Below are 27,711 nucleotides of genomic sequence, written 5' to 3' on the forward strand. Positions count from 1 at the left end.
CACTGGTCGGTGCCACAGGAGGAGGCTGGAATACTCAGAGCTGCGGCTGGGAGCCTGCCTGGCCCTGAAGGCTGCTTCCTAGTCAGCTGGGCCTGGACCTGTCCTCCTTCCACGGGCCTGAGCAACCGCAGTTAGAAAAGCCACCTGGGCCAGGGGCAGGGGCTCATGCCTGTAATCCCAACACTTTGGGAGGCTGAGGCGGGCAGATCGCCTGAGGCCAGGAGTCTCTACTAAAAATACAAAAATTGGCCAGGCTGGTGGCGCACGTCTGTAGTCCCAGCTACTCTGGAGGCTGAGGCACGAGAATCGCTTGAACCTGGGAGGCGGAGGTTGCAGTGAGCCAAGATTATGCCGCTGAACTCCTGGGCAGCGGTTAGTCCCTCAGAAAACGGAGGTGAGAACCTCCCAGGGCTTTCCTGTGAAGACAGAGTCAGAGGCTGACGTGAGGGCTTCCCACCTGCACAGACTGCCCACCTCCGCCTGAGCTGTGGACTCTGCAGGCTGAGCCTGTTTTAAGCAAAAGGACACAGCAATGGACGGCTGGGGCCCAGAGCGAAATTGGCGAATCTGACACTCATGAAGCCGAGAGCACCAGGTGTGACAGGAGCGGGTCTTACCCTGTCCCCTCCAGATGGGCCCAGCCACCATGTTCTAATCTGAGGTCAGGAGGAGGGGACAGCGACCTGAGTACCCCATTTATCCTCTCCTCTGGGATTTTCTCCTCAAGATGACAGGGTGAGGAGGGGTTCTGGGTTCTGGTCTGGCACTGCCCTTTGAGATATTTATCTTCAAATATTCATTTCCTTTCCCATTTTAAACTGAAGAGTCTTGACTCATTCCAAATTGTACAGCCTCTGGCATCAAAATAACTTGAACCAGATCACCAAAATAACCTCCTTCCATGGGCAATTTCGGGATGCTTTTTGGCAGGAGGCTGTTTTCTTTTCTTTTCTTTTTTTTTTTTTTTTTTGAGACTGAGTCTCGCTGTGTTGCCCAGGCTGGAGTGCAGTGGTGCAATCTTGGCTCGCTGCAAGCTCCGCCTCCCGGGTTCGGCTGTTCTCAGAGATTTGTGTGTCTGCCAGAGGGAGGTGGTCGGTGTTTGCAACGTGGCTTTCTGCTTGGAAGGACTGTGGCTCCGTGTCTCAGAGTTCTGGGCCTTGGGTGTCTCATGGGCCTGGTGCTGGGCAGCAGCGTGGAGCTGCCAGCAAGAGCAGCCTCCCTTCTGCTCTCAAGACTCAGGCCTTGGGAACAAGGCTGTGACTGTTGTTACCCACACACGCATGTGAGTGTGCAGCCTCTCCGGGGAGAGTGGGTGACCTGGGGGAGTCAAGGCAGGTGGAACAAGCCATCCACTTCTGCACTGGTGCCGTCCACTCAGAGAACCCGTCTAGCAGCGGAGATGCTGCTCCCAAGCTGAGAGATGTGGTCCTGCGGGGGCTGGTGGGGGCAGAAGACATTTCCTCAAGACACTGGCAGTTACTGGAGGAAGGTGAGAGGTAAACGTCATTATATTTTTAAAAACACTGTAGACTTTGAGAACTTTGTGTGCTCATTTACTTTTCCTTAGGTTGAGACTGAAAACGTCAACACAGGAGGCTGGTCTCGTCCATCTTCTCAGAGGTCATCCTTCAGGGAAATGGGAAACTCAGACCAACCGTGTTTTAAGAAGCGTCCTTTAGTAGAAGTCAGGGCAGGCACCGCGGCTCCACGCTTACTTTCGAGGGTGCTGGCGGGTGTGGCTGGAGCTCACTCTCACTGCCGGAAGTGAGGAGCCTCTCCAACTCACTCAGGGGAGATTTTTAAAAATAGTCTTATTTCTCACAAAAATAACCACTTCCCTGGGCTGAAAACTCCCCTGGAGTCTGTCAGTGCAGAGCAGCGCTGGGCTCAGGATCCGAGATGGGAGCGAGGAGCTGTTCCACCCACAACAAGCAGGTGCCCACAGCGTCCCTGGGTCCAGACATGGAAGACCCCACAGCGTCCCTGGGTTCGGAGATGGGAGACCCCGCAGCGTCCCTGGGTCCGGACATGGGAGACCCCGCAGCGTCCCTGGGTCCGGAGATGGGAGACCCCGCAGCGTCCCTGGGTCCGGACAGGGGAGAGGCCCTGCAGCGTCCCTGGGTCCGGACATGGGAGAGGCCCCGCAGTGTCCCTGAGTCTCCTGGACAGCGGCCACCCCATGCCCAGTGCTGACGGGCGCCCCTCGTGACTCCCTCTTTCAGGGCTGGTGGTCATGTCTGCGTGATGGAAAGGGAGCAGGAAGCTGAAGGGTAGGATGGGGAACAGGCTCACATCTGTGATGGGAAAGTCTGCCTTGACCTCTCAAGGAAAGGCTCAATTTTTAGGGGAATGATTTCCAAATCATTTAAGAGGCCCCAAGAGGAGAGATGCAGAGGAGGGGATGGTCTCTCACTGCAGCCCTGGTCTCATTCTCCACAGGGGAGGCTCCTCCCCTCTGCTCCATCCCCATGGGAGCCAGGGCCTCGCCTCTGCCATCTGGGATGTGAAACCTGTGGCTTCACTTCCAGACTCAGCAGAGGAAGAGGCCACGGGGTCTCTGATGAGCACGTGGAATCTTGCCCCTTAAATCTTGCTGTCTGAGGAATGGGGACATCATTTAGACACAGGCCAGAGAGTGCCCAAGGCCCAAGGAAAGTTGAGCCCATGGCTGCTTCTGACATCAGCCACTAGCTAAGCTCAGCCCTCAGGAGCCCTTGGAGCCCCTGACCCGTCAGCCAGGGCTGGCACTCAGGAACCAGAGCTGCTGGGAGGCCCAGGTCGTGGCCACGTGCACAGGCACCGGAGACATCCTTGGGTGGCCTCCTGTTCCTCCTCTGAATAAGGGCTGGTTTCCCAGAGAAGAGTGTGCACTGCTGTTACCCCAAGTGAGCCTGCGGTGATAATTGCAGTGTGATTTTGCAGCTTCTTTGCAGGGTGGCATCCGGCTCTGGTGGTGACGTTTTAAAGACGAAGATCCTGCGTGTACACGGCTGTGAGGCAGACAGCCCGTAATCAGTGCGACTCCATGCCGTGCCACACACCTTATTTTAAGCCACGTGTTTCCTTTATGGTATGTCCAAGTTAGAGGGAGAACTTATTTTCTTTTAAAATCCAAACATGACATTTCTGAAGTATAGAAACAGAGACATTTGGAGCTTTTTATCCCATTGAGACCTAGTTCATGCACAGAGTTTAGGATTAAAAAAGGCAACTGACCTAGGAAGTGGGGGCCTTTGCTTTGCTAGCAAATATTTGTACTTTGCTTTAAAACATGTGCCTGGCAGATCTCCTGAACCTAGTCCCAAGGAGACATCAGATAGACCCCAGCAAAGCCACTTCGTGAAATGAGAGGGCTGAGGTCTCTGAGGGCATCACGGCCACAAAGATGGAGAGGGGCTAGGGAGAGTTCCAGATTAAAGCCGGGGAGCCACCACAACCACACACAGCGCACTATCCTGGCCTGGAGTCTATGAAATCGGAGCCGAGACAGCAAATCATATGACAGCATTAGTGAAAATGGGACATTTCCTAAATTTGATGACACTACTGAAGAGATTTAAGAGACCAGCCCTGCTTTTAGGGGATTCCTAACATTTAAGGGGTGAAAAGGCGTGTGTGCAAGTGACTGTGTGCTGCACACACCCAGTGTGAGGGCCGGGCAAATGCTCACAGCCGGTGACAGGGCTCACAGTCGGGGAACCTGGCCCTGTTCTTGCAACTAACTTCAAAACAGCTGCTAAGAAAGATACAGCAGAGAGAATGTGACAACTGAGTTTCCTCTTTGTACTGACAAAGTCTGGGGTTCAAAGGCAAAGCACGTATAAATTTAAGTGGTTTTTTTAGTACTTAAAATTTGATTTTTGTAAATATAAAACCAATATATTCTTATTTTTGAAAAAGCAGAAAATAGAGCAAAAGGACTATTAAGAGGGAGAACAGGAGTGTCACCGGAAGCCCCAGACTCAAGGCCCTGCTGTTCTGCCCCCTTGGCCGTTATCCAGCCCACGGTGGTCTCCACGAGCCCCTGCTCCTGTCCAGGCTCCAAATCACATCGACATGACAGTTGGTGCCGACCTGACAGGCAGTAGGTGAATCCCTTCAAAACTCTTCCTTCTCTCTTTTTTTTTTAAGTCTTTAACAGACCTCCCTAGAACCCTGAAATTTGGGTTTCCACACTTTCTTCAATACAGTTGTTTCTGAGGACCATAAATGCTGAGTCCTGAAGCATGTGCTGTGTGTCCTGGAGGGGCCAGTGTGGTGTGTGGTGTATGATCTGGAGGCTCCCCGGGGGCTCCTGGCAACAAGCTGCAGGACGCACACCTTCTCAGAACCAGCGCCCCTGCCCCACCCACCTGTGGAGCCCAAGAGCCAGCTGCTGGGTGCCCAAGCTGAACATCTGCCGCCCACATACAGACCTCCCCTTAAGGGGAGCAGCAGGGAGGCTGGACCCTTCCCCAGAGCACAATGCCGGAGGTCCCACCCAAGGCTGCCCAAGCCCAAAGACAGGCCTCCTATCCATCGAGGCCCGGAGAGTTTCAACCCCTGCCTGGGGCCACACACTCCTTCATGCAGAGCCTGGTGTGCAGACCCTGCTGCCTTGGATGGTCCATCCTGGGTCAGGCACGTACCTCCCCTCCTCCGGCATCGGCCAGCTCCATGCCCAGAAGCGCCTGGCGCACCGCTGTGTTTCCTACAGGTCCGCTGCCCTGTGCTGCACATCATCCTGGTGTGCTCCTCCATCCTTCCACCTTCCTGATCATGTGGACCTCTAATTCCTTCACCTTCATCTCCCTCCCATTAGGAGAATCTTCCCTAGCGGATTCCTTTAGAACTTAAAGAACTTGGAGACCCAATCGCCATCCCCAGGCACCAGCGTATCTGTGCATTTCCTTCTTAACCTCCTTCCCTGGTCCCGTATCTCCTTTGGCCCTGAAAAGACTCATCCATTTATTTGGAAAGTATTAAGCATCACATGCACAGGTTAAAACTAAACAGCAGAAAAGTGCTCATAATCCTGTCTGGTTGTGCCAGGTGACAGCTGAATGATTTCTGCCTGTGGCCAGATTTCTGCCCCTGCCTGAGGTCAGTCTCGTGGCCCCCGCAGCAGCCACAGGCCCAGCTCTTGTCCCGGCCCACCTCGGGATGCTTCCGCCGTACTGTGTCCATGGCTGAGACCACCCTCTCTGTGGCCGCCTTGCTGTCCCCGTTCCCATCACTCGATGAGCCAATGCCCTCGTGGCTGGCATTGAGCTTGGCACCTGCTGGGCCTGAGGACCATGAGGGGAGGCTTCCTTCAGAAAAGCTGCTGCTCTCAGAGGTGATTTGGGGCAGGCCGCTCTGGGGGTCTCTGGCAGGCTCCTCCTGGCACCCTGGGAGGCTGGTGTGTCCTTGCAGGGTTGCAGGAGGGTTGGCGGGATGATCAGATGGTGCCTCCCACAAAGGCATCTGCAGTGCCAGCTGCTGTGATCTTTGTCACCAGGGATGGGAGCCCTGGGGAGTGAAGTTTGCCATCAGTGGGAACGAGTCACTGCGGTGGCCTGAGTGCTGGAGGAGGGCAGAGGCTTATTTTTAGGGATGTGGCGTAACACGGAAGAAATGTGTGCACTTGAAGCATGGGGAGGCCGAAATGCCAAACAGTTCTCTTGGCTAAATTTAGCAGACGTGCTCTTTATGTAAGAACGGAGTTAACCAGTATGTAACACAGAAGACTTACGGGAGCCGGCCCCCTCGCGTGCCCACCACGGTGTGCTGCTGAGGCCATTCCCGGGAACGCCACACTCCGCCCTGGCCACCTCCACCACAGAAGCAATGGCAGGGCTGTGAGTGCCCAGGGTGTTAGAGATTCTACTGCCTTGCCCCTGCCTGACCCTGACTCAAGGAGGGAGGCCCCCACTCTGTGCTCTTTCATCAGTGCCCAAGATGAAATCCAAATCACCAAGGAGAATTCCCACTCCTTTTGGGCTTTTGACACAACGTATGCTTTTCAGTGCCTTGTTTCAAGAAACAGGCTTGAAGAGGCACCTTTCAGAAGCTGAGCAGCAATTGTAGCCAGTTGGGACACACAGACCAAGATTTCTGGGTCTGATCCCAGGAGTGGGATAGGGCGGGCAACAGGGCTTTGTGCAAAGTCACTCAGCCATCGGTGAGTGACAGCTGGGTGGGTTCTCAGGCCTGGACTGCTGAGGCCAAGGCTTCTGGCCTCTCGTGTAAGGATTCCAGGCTCTGACTCCAACTGGCACCAGCTGGGAACGTGCTGGAAAGGCAGGGTCTCAGCCCCCACACAGACCCACTGGGCCAGAGCCCGCACCACGATCAGTCCCAGGAGCTCCTCCGTGGCCTCTTGGAAGCCTGAGCCCTGCCGGGGCAAGCGGAATCCCCAGCCTCACACCAGCCCGGCCACTGCCGCTCCCGTCCTCTGCCTGAGCTGTTCTGTTTTCCACGCAGTGGGAACCCCGGCCCCCATCCATCAGCACAGAAGAGTTGTGATGGGATGAAGGGCAGGGCAGGGCAGGGCCGGGTGGTCGGGCCCCAGCACACGGCTCGGGGAGCCTCCCACACTTGGTGATCCCGAGCCCTCAGTCTGCTGGTGGTGGTGCTCGAGAACTGTGGCTTACAGTGCGGGTGGGCAAGCGGAGAGGAGCAGCTGTGGAGGGCAAGGACTGGGGCCATTGCTCCTTGATACACTGTGGATGAAACCCTTTACTCAGTGAAGACCTAAGACTCCCCCAGGCCTGAAAGCTGGTCTTGGCAGGAAGAGGACACAGACGGGAAGACCTTGGACAGGGAGACTGATCCCTGGCTGGCTTATCTGCTTCAGGATCTGACTGCAGCAGGTGAGACCCCAAATAAAGGCCCAGACCATGGCCACGGCTGGTGCGGCCCCTTGGGCTCCAGGTCCAGATGAGATGCAGCTGCTCAGCAGTGCCCAGGGCTGCCCTAGAGCCCTCTGGTCCGCAGAGCCCTTCTCCTCCCAGGGGCTCCCACACCCACATCTCTGCTGATTCCCTCACACATGTAGCCAAGTCTGTGGCTTCTGTGGAGGCTAATTTTTTTTCTCGAATTTAATTAATTTCGAAAACAATAAACAATAATGATTGCACACACAACACCCAGGGCAGACTTTGGCCCTGTGCAAGCAGGAAACACAACTAAAAATGTGAATCTGGGAAGCAAGTGGGCCTGATGGGACGAAGCGTGAGCTCCGGGCAGGAGAAACTCTGTTCAGTTCAGCTCCCAGGCAGCCCTGCGCTCGCCGGTGGGCAGAGCCGGCCCAGGACCGTGCATGTCCACCCCGTGGCTGCCTGGGGCCTGTTCTGGTGCTTGCAGCCTCCAGAGCCGCCTGTGCTATGTGCTGTTGCTTCGTCTTGGAAGCGAGTCCCTAAACCAACCAAGTATTCAAAGTATTCAACGAGCAGAAACTGCAACAGGAAGAAAAATTATTCATTTTGGTTTTGTGCCATCCTTTTCTTTGCTTTCTCACTTTAAAATATTTTGACTTTCTAATCCCTTAGCAGTGAATATGCACTTATAATATTTGCAGAATCTCTGAAATGTTTAATTAAGAAGAAAAATAGTTCTTCAGACTAAACAGCAAAGCATCAGGGGATCACAGAGCCACTATGCTCACGCAGGCAGGGTTTACTTACAGGCCTCGATGAAGGACCAGTGGACCCAGAAGAGCTTGCCACGTGTCCCTGGGATGCCTCACAGGGTGTGCCCAGGAGGAGACAGGAGATAAGGAGCTTGGGCATGACTCTGTGGGCTGACATTGCCACAGCAGGCGGCGGCTGTCACTGCCTCCCAGATCCACATCACTCTTTATAACCCAGGCTGGGGCTCAGAAAGGAGGTTCCCAGGGAATGCTTATTGAATAAAGGAAGGAGAGAATGAACGACGGAGCCTGCACATACGGGGCTCTGGGTGACGCTGCTGGGGGCCTTGGTCTCTGCTCTTCACCAGCACCTCTGTCCTAATGTCTCCCAGGCACAGTTGCCGGCTAGGTGCAGACGAAGATGAAGACTCAGAGGTGGTGCCTCCAACACACCGGGGATCCCACCTGGACCTTGAAATCCCCCCCAGGCCACAGAAGCCCCTGAGACCCCTGGCTGCTCCCTTTCCTATGGAAGCCTGGGGCAGATGGTATTATCACTGCTGTGATCTCACACACCAGAGCCGCTGTCAGCCATGGTGTGTGATGACAGAGGCCGCAATGTTCCCCCTCTCCCTGGCTGAGCTGGGTGCAGCCATGCGCCCCAGGATCCTCCCTGAGGACCTTCCTCAAGGGCTCACAGCCATGCGTGCTGGAGCTGGGCCCCCAACACTCAACTCAGTCTTCTCTCAACTCCACTGGATGCCATGGGGGACAGCGCATCTTAGACGGGCCCACAGGTCAATGTGGTCCCCAGCCAGGCGACTCCTGCAGGTGCCTTCAACCCACTCAGGGAGGGCGGTGGGGCCAGGAGCTGTCCCGACCAGATGGCAACAAGCAGACTGCATGGGAATCAGACTACCAGGGCCTGGCTGTGGCTGCTCACCAGTGGGGAGCACACCTCACCACTCCCCTAAGCCTCAGCTTCTCCATCCATGCAGTGAGTTGTTTTCAAGCCTAACTAAAGTAACACAGTGACAGTGGGCTCACAGTAACACCTGCCAATGCCAGCCAGCACCACCTTATCCACTGAACACAATGACAGTGGGTTCACAGTAACACCCGCCAATGCCAGCCAGCACCACCTTATCCACTGAACACAGTGACAGTGGGCTCACAGTAACACCTGCCCATGCCAGCCAGCACCACCTTATCTGCTGAACACAATGACAGTGGGTTCACAGTAACACCTGCCAATGCCAGCCAGCACCACCTTATCCACTAGCCACGTGATATGGTTTTCCTGTGTCCCCGCCCAAATCTCATATTGAATTGTAGCTCCCATAATTCCGACATGTGGGAGGGACCCAGTGGGAGGTAACTGAATCATGCAGGCCGTTCCCCTGACTGTTCTTGTGGTAGTGAACGGGTCTCACGAGATCCGATGAGGCGGTTCCGACTGTTCCTGTGATAGTGAACGGGTCTCAGATCCGACGAGGCGGTTCCCCCAACTGTTCCTGTGATAGTGAACGGGTCTCACGAGATCTGACGAGGCTGTTCCCCCGACTGTTCCTGTGATAGTGAATGGGTCTCACGAGATCCGACAAGGCCGTTCCCCCGACTGTTCCTGTGGTAGTGAACGGGTCTCACGAGATCCGATGAGGCGGTTCCGACTGTTCCTGTGATAGTGAACGGGTCTCACGAGATCCGACGAGGCGGTTCTGACTGTTCCCGTGGTAGTGAACTGGTCTCACGAGATCCGACAAGGCCGTTCCCCCGACTGTTCCTGTGGTAGTGAACGGGTCTCACGAGATCCGACGAGGCGGTTCCGACTGTTCCTGTGGTAGTGAATGAGTCTCATGAGATCCGACGAGGCCGTTCCCCCGACTGTTCCTGTGATAGTGAACGGGTCTCACGAGATCCGACGAGGCCGTTCCCCCGACTGTTCCTGTGATAGTGAACGGGTCTCACGAGATCCGATGAGGCGGTTCCCCCGACTGTTCCTGTGATAGTGAACGGGTCTCACGAGATCCGACGAGGCGGTTCCCCTGACTGTTCCTGTGGTAGTGAACGGGTCTCACGAGATCCGACGAGGCGGTTCCGACCGTTCCTGTGGTAGTGAACGGGTCTCACGAGATCCGACGAGGCGGTTCCGACTGTTCCTGTGGTAGTGAATGAGTCTCACGAGATCCGACAAGGCCGTTCCCCCGACCGTTCCTGTGGTAGTGAACGGGTCTCACGAGATCCGACGAGGCGGTTCCCCTGACTGTTCCTGTGGTAGTGAACGGGTCTCACGAGATCCGACGAGGCGGTTCCGACCGTTCCTGTGGTAGTGAACGGGTCTCACGAGATCCGACGAGGCCGTTCCCCCGACTGTTCCTGTGGTAGTGAACGGGTCTCACGAGATCCGACGAGGCGGTTCCGACTGTTCCTGTGGTAGTGAATGAGTCTCACGAGATCCGACGAGGCGGTTCCGACTGTTCCTGTGACAGTGAACGGGTCTCACGAGATCCGACGAGGCCGTTCCCCCGACCGTTCCTGTGGTAGTGAACGGGTCTCACGAGATCCGACGAGGCGGTTCCCACTGTTCCTGTGGTAGTGAACGGGTCTCACGAGATCCGACGAGGCGGTTCCAACTGTTCCTGTGGTAGTGAATGAGTCTCACGAGATCCGACGAGGTGGTTCCGACTGTTCCTGTGGTAGTGAATGAGTCTCACGAGATCCGACGAGGCAGTTCCGACTGTTCCTGTGATAGTGAACGGGTCTCACGAGATCCGACGAGGCCATTCCCCCGACCGTTCCTGTGGTAGTGAACTGGTCTCACGAGATCCGACAAGGCCGTTCCCCCGACTGTTCCTGTGGTAGTGAACGGGTCTCACGAGATCCGACGAGGCGGTTCCAACTGTTCCTGTGATAGTGAACGGGTCTCAGAAGATCCGATGAGGCGGTTCCGACTGTTCCTGTGATAGTGAATGGGTCTCACGAGATCTGATGGTTTGATAAGGGGTTTCCCTTTTCGCTTGACTCTGATTCTCTCTTTCACCTGCTGCCATGTAGGATGTGCCTTGCACCTTCTGCCATGATTTTGAGGCCTCCTCAGCCACACGGAACTGTGAGTCCATCAAAGCTCTGTTTCTTATAAATTACCCAATCTCAGATACGTCTTTATCAGCAGTGTGATAATGACCCATATACCATGGGTCAGGAGTTTTACCTTCCAATCGTTGGGATATTGGTTACTGTATAAGATACTTCCTTTCCTAGGGTTTAATAATTTGGCGGAGAAAGAACTGGCTTAGAGTTGTGAATCTTAGAGAAGTGAGCAAAGGAGGCCTCTGTAAGAAAGTTGGGCTCATTCTCCCAAGAGGCAGCCAGGCAGCATTGCCACCATCCCCTGGGGGCCCAGAGGGCAGAAGCCACACCTCCAGGAGGGGCAGGCGGAGCAGGGTCAGGGCAGGAGGTGATCGGCCCACAAGCTGATGGTTTTGCCCGGAATGCTGTGGGCTTGTAGGAGAACATTTGCATGTGGGGAGCGCGATACTTCCCAGGGCTCCTTAGAGCAGCCTCCAATGTATCCCCTGCCTCCTGCCTTGCCCTGTGCAGGGAGCACACTCTGCACACACCTCTGGCTGCAGGTTGCTATGGTGCCCGCCACCCACACGGTGCTGCCAGGGCTGCCGGCAAGGATGGAGGTCTGTCTGGTGATAAACCACAGGCAGACGTAGCACAGAGTGAGCCCTCAGGAGAAGCAGCTGTCTGAGGCAGAGCTGGGGAAGTTTGCACGGATGGACCAGAGCAGAGCTTAAGGCCACACATCCCACACTCGGGAGAAACATCCTCATTACTGAAAGATCACAGCCCTGCAGAAGGGTTCACAGTGGACATAACACCCAAGAGCTCCAGATCACTGCAGCAAGTTTGTGCAGCCCGGATTGGGGGGTCCCCAACTCATCCTGGGACCCCTGCTCCCAGACACCTCTTGGCGGAGGACAAGCTGGGTCTCTTAGTTGAAAAGACACCCTAATTGTGATCACATCTCCTGCTGCAGGCTCAGGGCTCAGGAAACCATGGCGCTGACTTCTCAATGCCCCAGAATGTGGCAAAATCTTAAATGGGACAAGAAATCCAAATGCAGAAAGGGCATGCTCTCCAGGACTCATCTGAAAAGTAACTTTCGGGCAGGCGGGGCCACTCTCAGGTTCTCCTCACCATCTCCCAGACACATACACAGCAGGTCAAGAAAACCGGCCTTTCCCTGCCTGCAAAATGACGGAACAATCAAACAATCCCAAGTGCCAGCAGCAGAACGGAAACAGGGACTTCGCTTAACTTGGAAAGCAGAAAGTAGCATTGGTACTCAGAGGATTATTTAGGGGAAAAATCTACATAATTCTTGCAGGGCAGGAGGGGGCTTCTGGTGCAGTGTTAGGAAGTGGAACCTCACCACCGTAGCACCACGCAGGAGCCTACCTTGCTCTCATCCTCCGGGTCGCTGTAGCCACAGGCATCGACGAAATCTGGGAACGTCTCTGACCATCCGTCACTCGTACAGTTTTTGCTTATGTTTCCTGGAAAGTGAAGTTCAGATATTTTATCTGCAAGTCCATGAAAACTGGCCTTAGAAGGGACCTTAGTCCGTGCTGAGCCCGTGCTCTATTAAAATGCTTCCCACACCCAGGGGTCAGCTAGGAGACAGGACTGCCACTCAAAAAACCTTCCTTGCCCTCCTAGTCCATGTGACCTGGACAGCAGGTCACCTCTCGGGGCCGGTGGGTCCTGAGATGTGAGTGAACGCACTGTGTCATAAGTCATAATTACCGCAACTGTAAGTGTAGTTCTTTTGGGGCAGAATGAAAATTCTTAACAGACTCTTAGGTTCTGCCACCATAAGTGATATTTATAGCCAAGCCCTGGCCATCCTGGAGCCAGGAGCCCAGCCTGCCCCAGTTCCTGACAGCACCCTCCCTCCTCCCGGCCAGGCCCTCACCACCGACAGTGACCGGGTACCCCGCCTGCTCCAGTTCTGGGCAGCACCCTCCCTCCTCCCGGCCAGCACCCTCGCCACTGACGGTGACCAGATGCCCCACTGCTCCAGTTCCCAACAGCACGACAGTGACCAGGTGTCCCGCCTGCTCCAGTTCCCGACAGCACCCTCCCTCCTCCTGGCCAGCACCCTTGCCACTGATGGTGACCAGGTGCCCAGTCCAGTTCCTGACAGCACCCTACCTCCTCCTGGCAGCACCCTCCCTCCTCCCAGCAATGCCCTCCCTCCTCCCAGCCAGGCCCTCACCACCGATGGTGACCGGGTACCCCACCTGCTCCAGTTCCTGGCAGCACTCTCCCTCCTCCCGACAGCACCCTCCCTCCTCCCAGCAACACCCTCCCTCCTCCTGACAGCACCCTCCCTCCTTCCAGCCAGGCCCTCACCACCGACGGTGACTGGGTGCCCCACCCAGTTCCTGACAGCACCCTCTCTCCTCCCAGCCAGCACCCTTGCCACCGATGGTGACCGGGTGCCCGGCCTGCCCCAGTTCCTGACAGTATCCTCCCTCCTCCTGGCCAGGCCCTCACCACCAACGGTGACCTGGTGCCTGGCCTGCCCCAGTTCCTGACAGCACCTTCCCTCCTCCTGGCCAGGCCCTCATCACCAACCGTGACCCAGTAGGGCAGGCTCCATTTGGCCACTGGTGTTGGAAGAAAGGATGGCGGAATTACAGTTTAATTGTAGGAAACCAAGGCAGTTGTTCCCTTACAATCTCATCTTTTGCGCCTACGGAACTAAAATCATATGTAAGCTCAGAAATTCAATGTTCCTTGTATTTGTGTGTGTCCTTAGCAGATGGCCACACAGAACAGTAAGTGATAAAGCTCTCGAAGGTGTCCGAGCCGTAAGAATAAAACCAGGCACTGAACGCCGTGCCAGCCTTGCCCCGAGCATGGCTGCATGGTGTTAGGGTCACCCCCACAGCAGAGCCCAGGAGGCCGGACCCCTCCATGCACTCCTGGCACAGCCAGAGCGGAGCCCCTGTCTCCCTGCCTGGGTGACTGGAAGGGTCTGGGGCTTTGGATTTAGCAAATATTTTCACTCCCGTGACTTTTTAATTTCAAGACAACCCTGCAAGACAGACTTGGTGGGCGCTGCTGTTCCCATTTTACAGAAGGGGAAAACAAGGCTTTGAAGACTCAGTAGTTTGAGTGGGGTGCGTGCATGATTCTTGTCCTGCAGTGATGAGAGGCAGAGAGAGGGCCGGGCCAGGCTCTGGCTGTACTGGGGAGGAGTGGGGTGGGAGACTGGTCTCAGCAAGGCCTCAGGGCTGGCCCTGCCCACTGGCACCCCGACACCATCACCAATCAGGGGCTCTGACTACAAGGCCCACACCTCACACAGGGAGCCCCAGCAGGGTCTGGGGGCCTCTTAGCTGCAGAGACCCCATACACGGTAGAGGCAAAACAGAGCCCTAAAGCAGGCAAGCCTCCTAGAGACCTGGTCCCACGGCCCCATTGTGCAGACAAGGAGACAGGTCCACAAAGATAAATAATGTGCCCATCACAGACTCAGGAACAGCACTCATAATAGTTATTATAATAATACTAGTCATGTGGTAGTGGCCACTACGACTCACTGAGCCCTCAGGAATGCCGGGCTCTGTGCTTGCATCAACCCAGTTAATCCTGACACCACAGGAGGCAGCTCTCCAATTAATCTCAGAGATGAGACGGCCAAGGCTGAGGAAGTCGTGTCACTTGCCCAAAGTCACACTGGTGAGCGATGGGCCAAGCGCCACACCTGACAGCCTGGCTCTCACCTGAGCAGGGCACCTGCAGGCCCCTATCCTGAGCCTGGAAGCCAGGACCTCGGTGGGAGCTGAGCCTGTCACTCATCCTCTGCGAGGTGCAGCCTTTTCTCCTTCCTACGGGAGATCAGTGTTTACCAATCCAAAGAAGATGCTGAAATAAAACTCCACAAACTAAGTCAGAAAGTCATTCTATGAAGTGCAGATTCCCTCACAGGTTCTTTATCCTTTCTGACTTCTCACTCCTGAGACACATGGGGCAGATGTGGAAGGACAGGAAATGACTGAGGTGGCAACCTGCAGAGAGATCAGGGAGGTACAGAGAGACCAGGGAGGGGCAGAGAGAGGCCAGGGAGGGGCAGAGAGGCCAGGGAGGGGCAGAGAGAGGCCAGGAAGGGGCAGAGAGAGGCCGGGGAGGGGCAGAGAGAGGCCAAGGAGGGGCAGAGAGAGGCCAAGGAGGGGCAGAGAGAGGCCAGGGAGGGGCAGAGAGAGGCCAGGGAGGGGCACAGAGAGGCCAGGTAGGTGCTGAGAGAGGCCGGGAAGGGGCAGAAAGGCCAGGGAGGGGCAGAGAGAGGCCAGGGAGGGGCAGAGAGGCCAGGGAGGGGCAGAGAGGCCAGGGAGGGGCAGAGAGGCCAGGGAAGGGCAGAGAGAGGCCAGGGAGGGGCAGAGAGAGGCTGGGTAGGGGCAGAGAGGCCGGGGAGGTAGAGAGAGAGGCCGGGGAGGTACAGAGAGAGGCCGGGGAGATGCAGAGAGAGGCCAGGGAGGCACACAGAGGCCAGGGAGGGGCAGAGAGATCAGGGAGGTGCAGAAAGAGGCCAGGGAGGTGCAGAAAGAGGCCAGGGAGGTGCAGAGAGATCAGGGAGGTACAGAGAGAGGCCAGGGAGGTGCAGAGAGAGGCCATCCAGGGGCAGAGAGGCCAGGGAGGTGCAGAGAAAGGTTGTGGGGGGTGGGAGCACACTCTCGCCCACTTGCAGGATGACGAATACTTGAAGGCCTCCCTTAGGGCTTCAGTGCTTCTCAGCGACTATTCCAAGCCCCATGAGCCTACATCATCCTCCACTGGGGGATGTGCTGATGCCCCTTTAAAGGATCAGAACCACACCTGGCCCTACACCTGTGCTGGATGGGCGGCTGAGCTGCTGCCCTGGGTCTGGCTAAAACAGTGCCATGCAGAATTGGCAGGTGGGCACCAGGAGCAACTGGAAACACAGAAAGCAAGTCAAGGGAGAAAGGTCAGCACACAGCTGTCGGAGCTGCCTCCTGGCCCCTGAGCATGGGGCATGAACAGCAGCTGCTCACAGAAGGCTGTCCTCCCAGTGATGAGTCCTCGTGCCTCTCACCCTGGCTCCCTGCTTCCTTTGTTCCCCTCTATGCAGACAGTTGGCTCATTGCCTCCTGGAGGGGATGGGGGCAGGAAATGTCTGAAGCACCTAATCCTCACAGCTTTCCCCAAGCAGCAGTGGTGAAGTCCAGCCCGGGTGGGAAGAGGACTTGCATCCCGGGTCCCACTGCTGCAGGGCAGGGTTAGGACCTGGGGAAGGAGCTGCCCGCTGCTTCTGGAACCGCTGCAGGGCAGGGTTAGGACCTGAAGGAGCTGCCCGCTGCTTCTGGAACTGCTGCAGGGCAGGGTTAGGACCCGGGGAAGGAGCTGCCCACTGCTTCTGGAGCTGCTGCAGGGCAGGGGTTAGGACCTGGAGAAGGAGCTGCCCACTGCTTCTGGACAGGGCCCAGGGTCCCGCCTGGCACAGAGACACAGGGCGCCAGTGTGCTGGTCACTGTGATGATGCACAGTGCCGGACACACGTGATGATGCCCAGAGGCCACCTGCCTAGCATAGGACAGACAGCCCCCAAACCTCCCACCTGCTGGAAGGATGAGAAATCAAAAGAGAACACAATGTTTCATTAGAATGGTGACTTATTTCTGGAACACCTGGGTTTGTGGGCAGAAATGATTCCACGTGTGTTCTATGACCCAGCTCTCCTTACAGGTCATGGGAGGAGCAGCCATCACATGTGTAGAGTGTTCTGTAGACCACAGAGCACCATGCAGACGCAAGCCTGACTTTCATTTCTTTCTAAGACTCTACAGTTATCCCACCAAATTTAGTCTCTGAAGCCTCAGCTTCTGTGGTACGATGCCAGGTGGCTTCACCCCAGCCCTGCTCGGCCCCCAGTCGCATCCACATCTCTCTAAGTATTTGCAAAGGATGCCCATTTAATGCCCCAAAGATGAATTCCATGCGGACATTCCATGGGGACCATCTGTCCACAGTTTGTGCATGTCCTCGCATAGCTCACGTTTTTGTGATCAGTTGAAAAAGCAGAAGCATATTTCCCCTGCATTTCAGATCATCTAGCTGCGACTACTCAAGTGCCCAGACTTGGGGAAACACCACAAGTTTCCTCACAATAACAAGGTGGTGTCATGCTCCCTGCTTGGGAAAAAGGTGGAATAAGCATTTAACCCAAAGCCAACTGGGAGTTTTCATTCTCACAGGCAGCAGCAGGATGCTTCCAGGCAGGGCCAGAGCCTCACTGACCTGGGCGCCTGGTGCCCAGATGGCTTCTGTCTGGCAGAGGCTGGACTGGATTCTGGTGCTTGCTAATGTGCAAACTACCAGGCTGCTGGGTGCTTTCTGGAAGCCTCAGAACCATGCCATCGACTAGGAAAAGCCAGAGTCCATGCCAATTCCCTCCAGATCTCCAGGAGAATGGATGCAGCCCAAGCTGCTCAGTAGAAATGCTACTGATTGGAGGGAACAGTTCTTAAAGTTCAGGTTCTCTAAAGTGACTTAGGTTCTAACTCAGGGGTGGGCAGTGATGGTAATGCAAGCATGGTCCCTACCTTCAGGCTGCTTTGCTGGCAACTCGGGGTGAGAAAGTCAAAATCTTCCTTTCGGAATCTCCTTCTCCTCTGTCCCAATCTCTTTTCCAAAACTCTGCTTTAAAACACTACAGCATTATTACTTCCCAAAGTCTTTACCCTTTAACCTCTGTCCAAGATAAAAGTAAATTCTCCATAGTGCTCCAAAGTATTATGCTTTCTGTTTCCAGATGTTTCCTATGTTTTCTATTTTTCTGAATAGATTTCTTCACACTATGAAAATCTGAATCACTCACAAAAACAAACAAAACCTTTCTCTCAGGATTCAGCCAAGAGATATTGGCAGCACCGCATACGGAGCATGCCCTGGGTGCAGAGGAGGAGCCTGGAAGCCCAGAGAAACTGCAAATTCCAGGCAGCATCAAACCTGTGAGGCGGCAGGGAGGTTGGGGGAGTGGGTTCGATAAACTAGGTGTGTCCTGGGGCCTCTGCCCTGAGCATGGAGGCTCTGGGTGCCACACTTCCCACTTCCCAGAAACTTCCAGAGTGTGCTCTCTGGGGCTCACAGGCCGACTCAGTGGGAGGAGGGGAGCCTCCTTTAGGGCCCCCTTGCCTCCCCTCCCCTCTCATGCACGTTTCCCGTGCTTTGGTTCCCATTTGGCTCCTGTCTCCCCTGGTTCTTTCCCTGTAGTTGCCCTGCTCTCTGGGGTTTGGCTGAAGGCAGGTGATGCCCTTCTGCTCCCTAAGACGGGCACTCACCCCAATATGCCACAGCTGTTCCCTGACCCCCAGGGTAGCAGGAGATGCCTGAAGGAAAGTGATGTTCCTGCTTCTTGGATGGAAAAAATGGACGCTCAGATGCAAACACCCTGGAGGAGCTCAGGAACTCAACCGACGGACAGTACCTGCTTTGCTGTAAAAATTGCTGAAGACTTTTGGGCAGGGCACCGTGACGGTCTCTCCCACATTGGCAGGCCGCCAGCACGTGATGTTGTCCCAGACGCCACTGCAGGCTGGAAGGAGAGAAGCAGAGTGAGGCAGGTGCAAGGTGACAGAAGTGTCACAAATAGAAACCCCATTAATGAGATAACTGCCTCGCAAACTCCTTTCCTGTGAAACACACTTGCACCAACACAATTATTGAGACTATAGTTAGCTTGTGGGTTCATCTCAATTAGCTTTGGAGGAATAACCATATGGTGGTAGAAAGCATTTGAGTACTTCAATGTATACCATGTACCTTCTGAATTTTAAGAGAATCATTACTTACTTCTTGTGATCAGCATTTCCTAGTGTGATGAAATGGGCACCACTGGGTATTAGTGTAAGGCCCCGTCGGGGAGGGAGACGCCCAGGGAAAGTGTGCTTGTGCTTCTGTGGAATCTGACTTCAATGATTATTTGCAAATAAAAGTATTTGATAATATTTGTTTGATTTTTCACTGTCAAGATGCCTTATTAGCAACAAAATCTTAGGTTACCTTCATGGAGTTGTCAAATAATTTGCATAATGCATAGCTTAAACATTTTTAGACCTACTATTTGGTCTTAATAACCACCTGGTGAAGGTTAGATATAAAAATGTTGCATTAATTATCTTCCAGATGAAAAGCACTAAGGTTCAAATCTTTTAATGAATTCTCAATATCACACAACAGTGATGGAATGCATGTTAAACCCAGGACTTTCCTACTTGTCCATGGTATTTATACTATATTTGAGACCTCTAAAATTTTACCTTTTACTTAAACCTCAGTATCAGAAAAGCAATGTGCTAGCCTTGGTCGGTAAAACAAACAAACAAACAAACAAACAAACAAACAATCAGTTTTCCTTTCAGCACATGCCACCCAGACCTGTGCAATAATTGCAGGAATACATCCATAGAGAACACACAGCTTTGGTGTGAACAAAGGAGTGTTTTACTTTCAAGAATACAGAAATGTCTCTGAAAAGCTGGCCATAAGCTAAGTTTTGCAGATGAAAATAGTTTCTAAATACTTTCAATAAAAGTGAAAATATATTTATTATAAAATAAAATTACATACCAATACTTGAATAAGTACATAAATTCATATTACATTAATGTTAACATATTTAAAGAAAATGTTGGTTTTCTTTTAAAATGTTCAAAACAAGTGATCAAATGTAAATGCATCACTAGAAACTCCAGGCGTGAGCCCCCGTGTAAGGCTGCTTAGAGTCTAAGTAGTAGAGTTATTTAAATGCTAAGTTCGTAAACCAAGCACTTCTAACTCTGGTGTGTAGGGCAGGTGGTGGAGAGGTGTCAGGATGGGGTTCCTAGCCAAGAGTGAACAAGATGGAGAGGAAAGTGAAGATGTCTAGGCCTCCAAGTGAAGACTCTGCATGTGATCAGCAAAGTTCTGTCCATCTCCTATAAAACAGCAAGCTCTGGCAGTTTCGTGTCTGGTTATTTTGAAGGTTCAGCTTTTTATCACAAAATGACAAATTTCTACCTTGATAATAGTAATGGCTGGGTGTGGTGGCTCACACCTGTAATCCCAGCGCTTTGGGAGGATGAGGTTGGTGGATCATTTGAGGTCAGGAGTGTGAGAACAGCCTGGCCAACATGGTGAAACCCCGTCTCTACTAAAAATACAAAAATTAGCCGGGTGTGGTGGTACACACCTGTAATCCCAGCTACTCAGGAGGCTAAGGGAGGAGAATTGCTTGAACCCAGAAGGTGGAGGTTGCAGTGAGCCGAGATCGCATCACTGCATTCCAGCCTGGGTGACAGAGCAAGATTCCGTCTCAAAAAAAAAAAGCAATAATTATATAATATTGTTATTTTAAAATAATGGGCTGGGTGTAGTGACTCATGTTTGTAATCTCAACACTTTGGCAGGCTGAGGCGGGATAATCCCTTGAGCCCAAGACTTCAAGACCAGCGTGGGCAACATAGCGAGACCCCATCTCTACAGAAAATATTTAAAAATTCGCTGGAGGTAACAGAGCATGCCTATAGTCCCAGCTACTAGGGAGGCTGAGGTGGGAGGATCACTTGAGCCTGGGAGGTCGAGGTTGCAGTTAGTAAAGATCATGGCACCGCACTCCAGCCCGGGCGACAGAGCGAGACCTCGTCTCAATAAATAAACAATAAATAAGATAATGTATAGTAAGATAACTAATACATAATACAAATTATAATGCAATAATTATATACTGTATAATACTAATTGCTGCTTTAAATTTCAACAGAGATACTAAATTCATACCACATCAAACAGTCTTTGCATTACAGTAGGATTTGATTTAAACATCTAGAGCTAATCATCTGATCCCTTCAATGGCCAGGGAAAGTCTTCTCTTCATTTGTTCCTTTATTGGACCGCACGTGAGGGAGCAGAGCTAGACGCTGTCAGGATGTGAGGAAGCGGACTCGAGGGCGTCAGGGCGCCGAGGCTGAGGTAGCAGCCGGAAGTGCAGCCGAAGGCGCAGCCGGAAGCGCTGCCACAGTGCCGGTCGCACACGTGGCACTGGCTGCAACCTCCTGGCAACAGCTGCCAGGCGGGAACACAGGAGTTTCTCTCTCAGCTTCTCAACCTCACGCAAAGGACAGCCAAAAATTTGAAAGGGCAGCACCAAGAGATGTCACTACAGCCTTGCAGACAGAAGCAACTGTGTTAAATAGGCAGGCAGAGGAGGGGGAGAAGCGAGAGACAGGCCATCGGTACCCCCGGCACCGGCAAGGGTGGAGGACGCTGCAGGGAACCGACGGGACCCGGCCGAGAGCCCCGACTGTGAGGAGGCGGCTCACGGCGCCTACCTGGGACCGACCCTGACTGTGAGGAGGAGACTCACGGCGCCTACCTGGGACCGACCCTGACTGTGAGAAGGAGGCTCATGGCGCCTGCCTGGGACGGGACCCGGCTGAGAGCCCCGACTGTGAAGAGGAGGCTCACGGCGCCTACCTGGGACCGACCCTGACTGTGAGGAGGAGACTCACGGGACCTACTTGGGACCGGATCCTGACCGTGAGGAGGAGGCTCATGGCGCCTTCCTGGGGCCAGATCCCCAACCGAGGACCCCGACTGTGTGAGCAGGAGGCTCACAATGCCTGCCTGGGGCCAGACCCCAGCTCAAGGATCCCGACTTGGCAAGGAGGGGGAATCCAGAAGGAGTGGCTCTAGGAGTGAGAGAAGAGAGACAGACCCTCTCACATTGTTTTAGATTGTTTTATACTCAGAAAAGGAAACAGAAGCGAAACTAAAGGCAGGTAGCCCAGCGCCTAGGAACCAGACCCGACACCAGGCCTGGACCTGCCTGACCTAAGCCTGGTAGTTAAAATTTGACCCCTGACCTAGCAACTGATGTTATCTATAGATTGCAGACATTGTATAGAAAGACACTGTGAAACTTCCCGGTCTGTTCTGTTTCACTCTGACCACCCGTGCATGCAGCCCCTGTCACATACCCCCTGGCTTGCTCAATCAATCATGACCCTTTCATGTGAAACCCTTAGCGTTGTGAGCCCTTAAAAGGGACAAAAATTGTGCACCTGACAAGCTCGGATTTTAAGACGCTAGTCTGCCAATGCTTCCAGCTGATTAAAGCCACTCCCTTCACCATCTCGGTGTCTGAGGGGTTTTGTCTGCAGCTCGTCCTGCTACAAGAGAAAAAATGGAACCCTGAGACCACCTCAGTGCAGTGTCTTGAGAGTGTTCTGGCCTGAGGTTTGATGCCTAATTATTGAGAGGTAGGTGAAAAACCCAGCAACAGAAAAACGAGGAAAAGCATAAAGTTATGAAGAAAGGAAATGCTGGATATTATGTGGCTCAACTGTGATGGCAATGATGTACACCAGCAATGTGAAGTGAGTCTATCAGGAGGCTGGCAGGATGATAAATTATACTTGGGTGGTGGGAATGGCACAGGAGAGATAGATCTTTATTCTTGTTAGAAATCTAATGGACACTGGGATGTAAATTGGGAGGAAGAAAGAAAAGAAACAGGAGCATAAGTATGCTGTTTAGAAATAAAATAAATACCAGAGAAGAGATGAAAGAGATGCTGCCATAGGGCTGAGAACTGGGGATGACGAGGGGCCGGAGACTATTATCTTCATACAGCCTTGTAGTATCATTTGCCTTTTACAATTTTATAAATGCACTCTGTTGAAAACTAGCATTTAAAGTGTATCATTATATTAAGATACCCATTTTTAAATGTTTACATTTTTAAGGAACATTGTGCAGGCCAAAGCAAAATAGTGCATGAATAGGTCATCAGTTCAGTGTTGGACATAAGTGATTCAAATTTGGCACAGTGAACCCTTTGGGAGAGGCAGCGAATTTGGGAGAGGCAGCAAGTCCTTCTGTAGGAGTGTGCGCCGAGGCACAGGACGGCATGGGAGGAGAAGGGGAGGCAGGCAGGGCCACCCCCGAGAGAAGCACAGCCACTTGGAGACGCCTGTCTGTTTGGAAAGCAGTGGGCAGCTGAGATTTCATGAAACAAAGGATTTGCAGATGGAGTGAGAAACAAACAAAAGTGCTCGGATAAGGCAGTCAGGGAAATGGGACTTGTTAAGCTCTGGTGGCAACCTAGGTTTTCCAGATGGTGATCATAAAATCAAAGGTCGCTCTGAAAAGTGGAAAATGTATCAATAGACTCTGAAAAGTTACTTGGTAAAATTCAGTGGCCATTTCTAATTTTTTAAAACCCTAAATAAAATAGTAAAATAATGAGACTCCCTTAACATCACAGAGAATATTTGTTAAAAATAGCAAGCATTAAGCCAGGCACTGTGGTAAGTACCTGCAGTCCCAGCCACCCAGGAGGCTGAGGTAGGAGGATTGCTTGAGCCCAGGAGCTTGAGTCAAGCCCGGGTGACTGAGTGAGGCCCTGTCTCAAAGAAAAAAAAGAGGAAAGAAAGAATAGAAAGAGAGAGAGGGAGAGAGAAAGGAAGGAAGAAGGGAGGGAGGGAGGGAGCGGGGAGGGAAGAAAAAGAGAAAGAGCAAGTATTAGACATGTTTAAACAGAATTGTACAACTGAGGAGCCAGGTTGGGTACCTGCAATTCATTATTATTCAACAATGTGTCATAAGTTGCAGCTAAAACAGCAGATGAAAGAAGAACTAAGAGGTATAAATTGGTAAAAAGTAGAGAAAAAACCCTAGAACTGTACTTTCTATATGGCAACCACTAGCCTCACATGGCCATTTAAATGAAAGCTAATTAAAAGGAGATGCAGTTAAAGGTTTGGTTCCTCAGTTGCAGCCGCCGCATTTGAATGCTCCGCAGTGGAACTTGGCTGGTAGCCATCACACCAGCATTTCCACTACCATGGGAAATTCTACTCGACAGCACTGTCTAGGGTCAGAGTTAGACAAATGCAACATAAACCCAGCAAACCTGTCTCACAAATCAAGAAGCAAAAAGAGAGAGAAAAGAGCAATGAAACCCTTTGGCTCGCACACCGAGGCAGAAGCTCAGAGGAGCCGCTTCTCTGGGTCATTGTTCTTCGGCTAAAATGTCCCATGTAAATAATCCAAAATACCTTTGAATCAATATAAATGATAAAGTTGTTTCACTTATCACCCCAATCTTCCTCTTTCAAAACTTGGCAGAGGGGTAGAGAAGGAGCCTCCTCTGATCTCAGCAGCCTCTCACCCAAAGTCATGGTCAGGGCTTGGCAGGCAAGCCTGGCTGAAACAGGACTTCAATCTGTCTGCTTTGGACGTCTCACCTTAATTAGAACACAGCAAGGTGTGTCACCACTAGTGCTTAGAATGTGTCACCAAAGCCCCTGAGCTCAGGCTTGCTGGCTGGGTCGTCCCTTGGCCTTTTCAGATCACGCCCCTGACGTGCTGCCTGCAGCCTCCAAGGTCAGGGTGCTGGGAATGGAGGAACTCAGGCTGGCAAAGCTGGTGTCCGAGCTGCCCCACGCCCTCTAGCTGCCCTTCTCACCTCCGATTCCGTTGCTGCTTCTAGTCTTTCCTAAGCACTCAAGTCAGCTTCCTGGGGCCACGTGCTTCCTTTCATATACCAGCTTAGGCTGCGTTTAGCTAAGTAGTCAGGCAGCAGGTGTGAGGCATCGATTTGTTTGTGAACAGCAAGGTCTCCCAGGGCTGCTGTGAGCTCCACCCATTGGACATGGGGTCTTGTCCCCACCCTGCTATGTGGCCCCGTGACCTGTGCTGACCCCTCGGACTGACAGGCTCTTCCTTCTGGAAGGTGGTCATCACGGAAGGGCTGGAGCAGTTGGTGGGAGCCCTGGTCGGAAAGGCTGCAGGGAGAAGGCTTAGGCACCTGCTGAATGTAGGAAAGGAACAGCTTGGGTGACGTGGGCAGAACCTTTTGGGCCAACCTCAGAGCCTTGGGAGGAGCCAACTACTAATTTTGAAGCCAAGTTTCAGGAGATTTGTGCCATAGCCACACATAACCAGGAGCAAATCTTCCTGGGAAGCAAACAGCTGGCAGAGCAGAGTCACATGGGCCCTCCAGAGGGCACTGCAGTGGGTTGGCACCGGCATGGTCAGTGCCCGCATGGTCAGTGCATTTGGGAAAGCAAGTGGGCAGAGTGGGCAGTGACCGGTGGTCAGTCACAGGGGCTGGTCAGGGGGCTGGAAGCTTCCAGGCAATGAGTGACTTTTCAATGTAGACTGGCAGTGGTGGCTTCCTAATTTTTGCTTGAAAATCAGCTTAGTCTCCTGAAAAAGACACTGTAGACTAAGTCGTTCAGAAAAACGGACCCTGTGATGGTGCAGCCTTCCGACATTTCTGAGGCTTCACAGCATTTTCAACGGAATACACAGGGTTTGGGAAAGGCTGCTGCTTGAACAAGTTCTTACCGGTATGCTGGGAATTCCTCCAGGTGGAATTCTGAGGAACACAGCAGTAACTCAATTATGTGACACCTTCCAGCCAAAGGGGAGTGCGCACAGAGTGGGGAGGAACCTACAGGAACCTGCAATCCTACCGTATAAAAGACGCTGCCTTCTGTCCAGAGACTCCCTAGGAAGTCCTGGCTCTTACAGATGACGTTATAGGTGTTACTTTGAGCTCTGGATTTGGATTTATTTTCTCATTATTTCAATGTCAATGACATAAACATCAATTAAATTTCAAGAGACTCTTACGACATGCTCCCCCTTATCTAGGAAATGACTTTTACATATACTCCATTTTGTCCTCCCAGCAACTCCCTGAAGAAGGCGAGAGCCCCTGTCCTCACACTGGGGAGGAGACCAGGTTCACAGAGGGGAGGAAACACACTCTGACCACAGGACGGAGTGCGGGAGCCAGCCGAGCAGTCGGGCTTCTGGGTCACTGCCCTTTCCCTAGAAGGTCCCTTGCCATCTCAGACTGCATGGGACTTGCTTTATCACCAGTGTATACCACACACGAGGCTTCCTGTGACTTAATTTCTCAATGATTTTGTAATTATAAAAGCACTGGTCATGGAGCCAATGGGTAGGTATGTGGGTCCAGGATCCTCTTTAAACCTCCGGCGTGAATGAGGATGAATCCCTTTGTATGGCCTGTGAACAGACAGGATAACAGTGAGCACATGAAACATAGTGCCGCACCACACAAAGGCAATGCAGGACGTCATCTCAGAGGTGGGGCTGCACCTGCTGACCTGAGTCATGGACACAGATGGGTGCAACTCCAGTTGTCACCTGCACCATGCTTGCCACGCAGCTCATGCTCTCTTTGGACAATGGGCAGCTCTGGGAGGTGGTGCCCTAGATCTTCCCATGGTTCCCCCACACCCTCCTTCCATCTTCAGAGTCACCTGCCCCTACCCCACATGCAACTCCACAGAGAGTGGCAGCTGAGGGTGGGTGGCCCAGGAGGCCCGAGTCATGGGAAGCCACCCTGCTGCTGTCATCAGTGACCAAGTGTCAGCAGGACTTGGAGGAGGGGCATGAGGGCTGAAGCTGCTTCATCCAGACAGGGCTGGGGAACAGCTCTAGGAACCAGCGAGTGGGAAAAGGAAAGCTGAGAAGCAAAGCCTCCTGAGACTGGCCATCGGCTCGGATGACAGCTTGCCTCCAACGCATTTAGAAGCAAATATTTCCAATCGCATCCTCCACTCAAGAAAGCTTGACTTATGTCTCAAGTGACAACAACAAAGCTTCCTCCAGAATCTGGGCAGAGCAGGAAGTCCCAGCTGGTTCTCACGGGGAGCTCAGAGAGGCCGGGGGCGTCCCAGTCATCGAATACTCCCCTTGCACAGCAAATAACGGGCTGAAGGATGAGCCACTCTCTTCCTGCTGGGGGGCTGCTGAAGCCCCTGTGACCACTCCTTCCGAAGGTGGGTGTTTAAATACCTTCCCAGCCGCATGTCTGAGTGGTTGAGTTCTCTGCAATCCTCGCCGCTTCTGCCCCAAACGGTAACAGGATTCTTCCTGGAGATAGCCACGAGGAAAAGACCTGCAGGAGGAATTCCGATTGCCTGGTTGTGATGGAGTGTGCTGCTGGAGACCATTTTCTGTGTCTCAAGGAGCTGCATGTGAAAGCAGTCAGCCTGGTCCATCTCAGGGAACGAGCTTAAAACACAGGTCCTGATGAGCAAGACCAAGGCGGGAGAACAGCGTGCTCAGCATCCCACCTCCCCTGCCTCCTGATCCTGCCTCTTCCTGTGCAGTGCTTCCAGGTTCAGTGGGTGTTTACGGTGAATGAGACGGAGGGGAAGGAAGAGAGAAATGGAAACGTAGCCGCCATTCAATGGCAGGCATGAGCCCAGCTCCACTAGCCCCTCTCTTCCAGCCCAGACAGAGATGCATGATCAGGTCCAAGTTCTTTCATTATAGAAAGTGACTTTTTCTCTTACCTTAAGAGAAACCAGAAAAACTGCACTTCTTGTACCGTGGTGATTCTTTGTATAAAATCTGCTGTGACCAGAACAACGTGGCTCCCACGGTCACTTGGCGCGGGTGCACAGAGCTGCTCCTGGATGCTGTCACCAGCATGGGCTCTGCTGTTCCGAGTGCACAGAACCGAGGCCTGGGTGTGCGGCACAGCGCTTTGTGCACTCCTACAGACCACACCTCCATACAGACCACACCTTCAGAGGAAAATTCGCTATAATTTCCTTCAGAGGAAACTGCTATAAACACCCACACCCCAGGGGTTCTGGTTTAATTTGCCTGGAGGATGTTTTTATTGTTTCAGGATTCTTCGTGGTTCCAAGTGTACCCAGGGCTGAGGCCCAGCCTTGGAATGCAGAGGCTGGAATGGGGTCACCATGTAGGGTGGTCCCTAGCCATCCATTTAAACAGGCCCTGGCGATTCTGACAATGGGCCGCAGCTCCCCGGGTGGACACAGGAGATAGGAAGGATGGGGCCCAGGCATGCAGGGGTCCCGCCCCACAGCTCCTGGCTGCCCCTGAGCATGTTGCTAACCCTAGGCCTCAGTTTGCTCCTCTGCAGAACAGAGATGACACCAGGTAGGAAGTGATCACAAGCACCGCAAGGTAGAGCTGGGTGCACGGGGCCTCGACTGCAGGGTGGCGGCACTCAGAGCTCCTGCAGGACA

General features: G+C 53.2%; 1 protein-coding gene across 4 annotated transcripts in view, besides 2 other annotated features; it reads right to left on the reverse strand.

Annotated features, from left to right (window-relative positions):
• The window catches only part of VIPR2 (vasoactive intestinal peptide receptor 2), a 116,693-nt gene that overhangs the window by 63,524 nt on the left and 25,458 nt on the right, over positions 1-27,711 (reverse strand). For 3 of the 4 annotated variants that reach the window (NR_130758.2, NM_001304522.2, NM_003382.5), the window contains exons 3-4: positions 18,114-18,221; positions 12,059-12,156 (exon numbers count right to left, since the gene is read on the reverse strand). Coding sequence is in view for 3 of the 4 variants with exons in the window: in NM_001304522.2 (NP_001291451.1) it covers positions 12,059-12,156; positions 18,114-18,221 (206 nt within the window). In the remaining variant the exon portion in view is untranslated. 4 annotated transcript variants of the gene reach the window in all.
• Positions 3,931-6,973: an enhancer, noted in NCBI's record as "VISTA enhancer hs1753". NCBI's record gives its function as "enhancer in: heart[14/18]" and the evidence as "EXISTENCE:transgenic organism evidence [ECO:0001131][PMID:17130149]".
• Positions 21,050-21,725: an enhancer, noted in NCBI's record as "H3K27ac-H3K4me1 hESC enhancer chr7:158905439-158906114 (GRCh37/hg19 assembly coordinates)". NCBI's record gives its function as "activates a minimal SCP1, AML or CMV promoter by ChIP-STARR-seq in naive H9 embryonic stem cells {active_cell/tissue: H9 hESC(naive)}" and the evidence as "EXISTENCE:reporter gene assay evidence [ECO:0000049][PMID:30033119]".

This window comes from Homo sapiens, chromosome 7 (assembly GCF_000001405.40).
Source record: "Homo sapiens chromosome 7, GRCh38.p14 Primary Assembly".
Taxonomy (NCBI): Eukaryota; Metazoa; Chordata; class Mammalia; order Primates; family Hominidae; genus Homo; species Homo sapiens.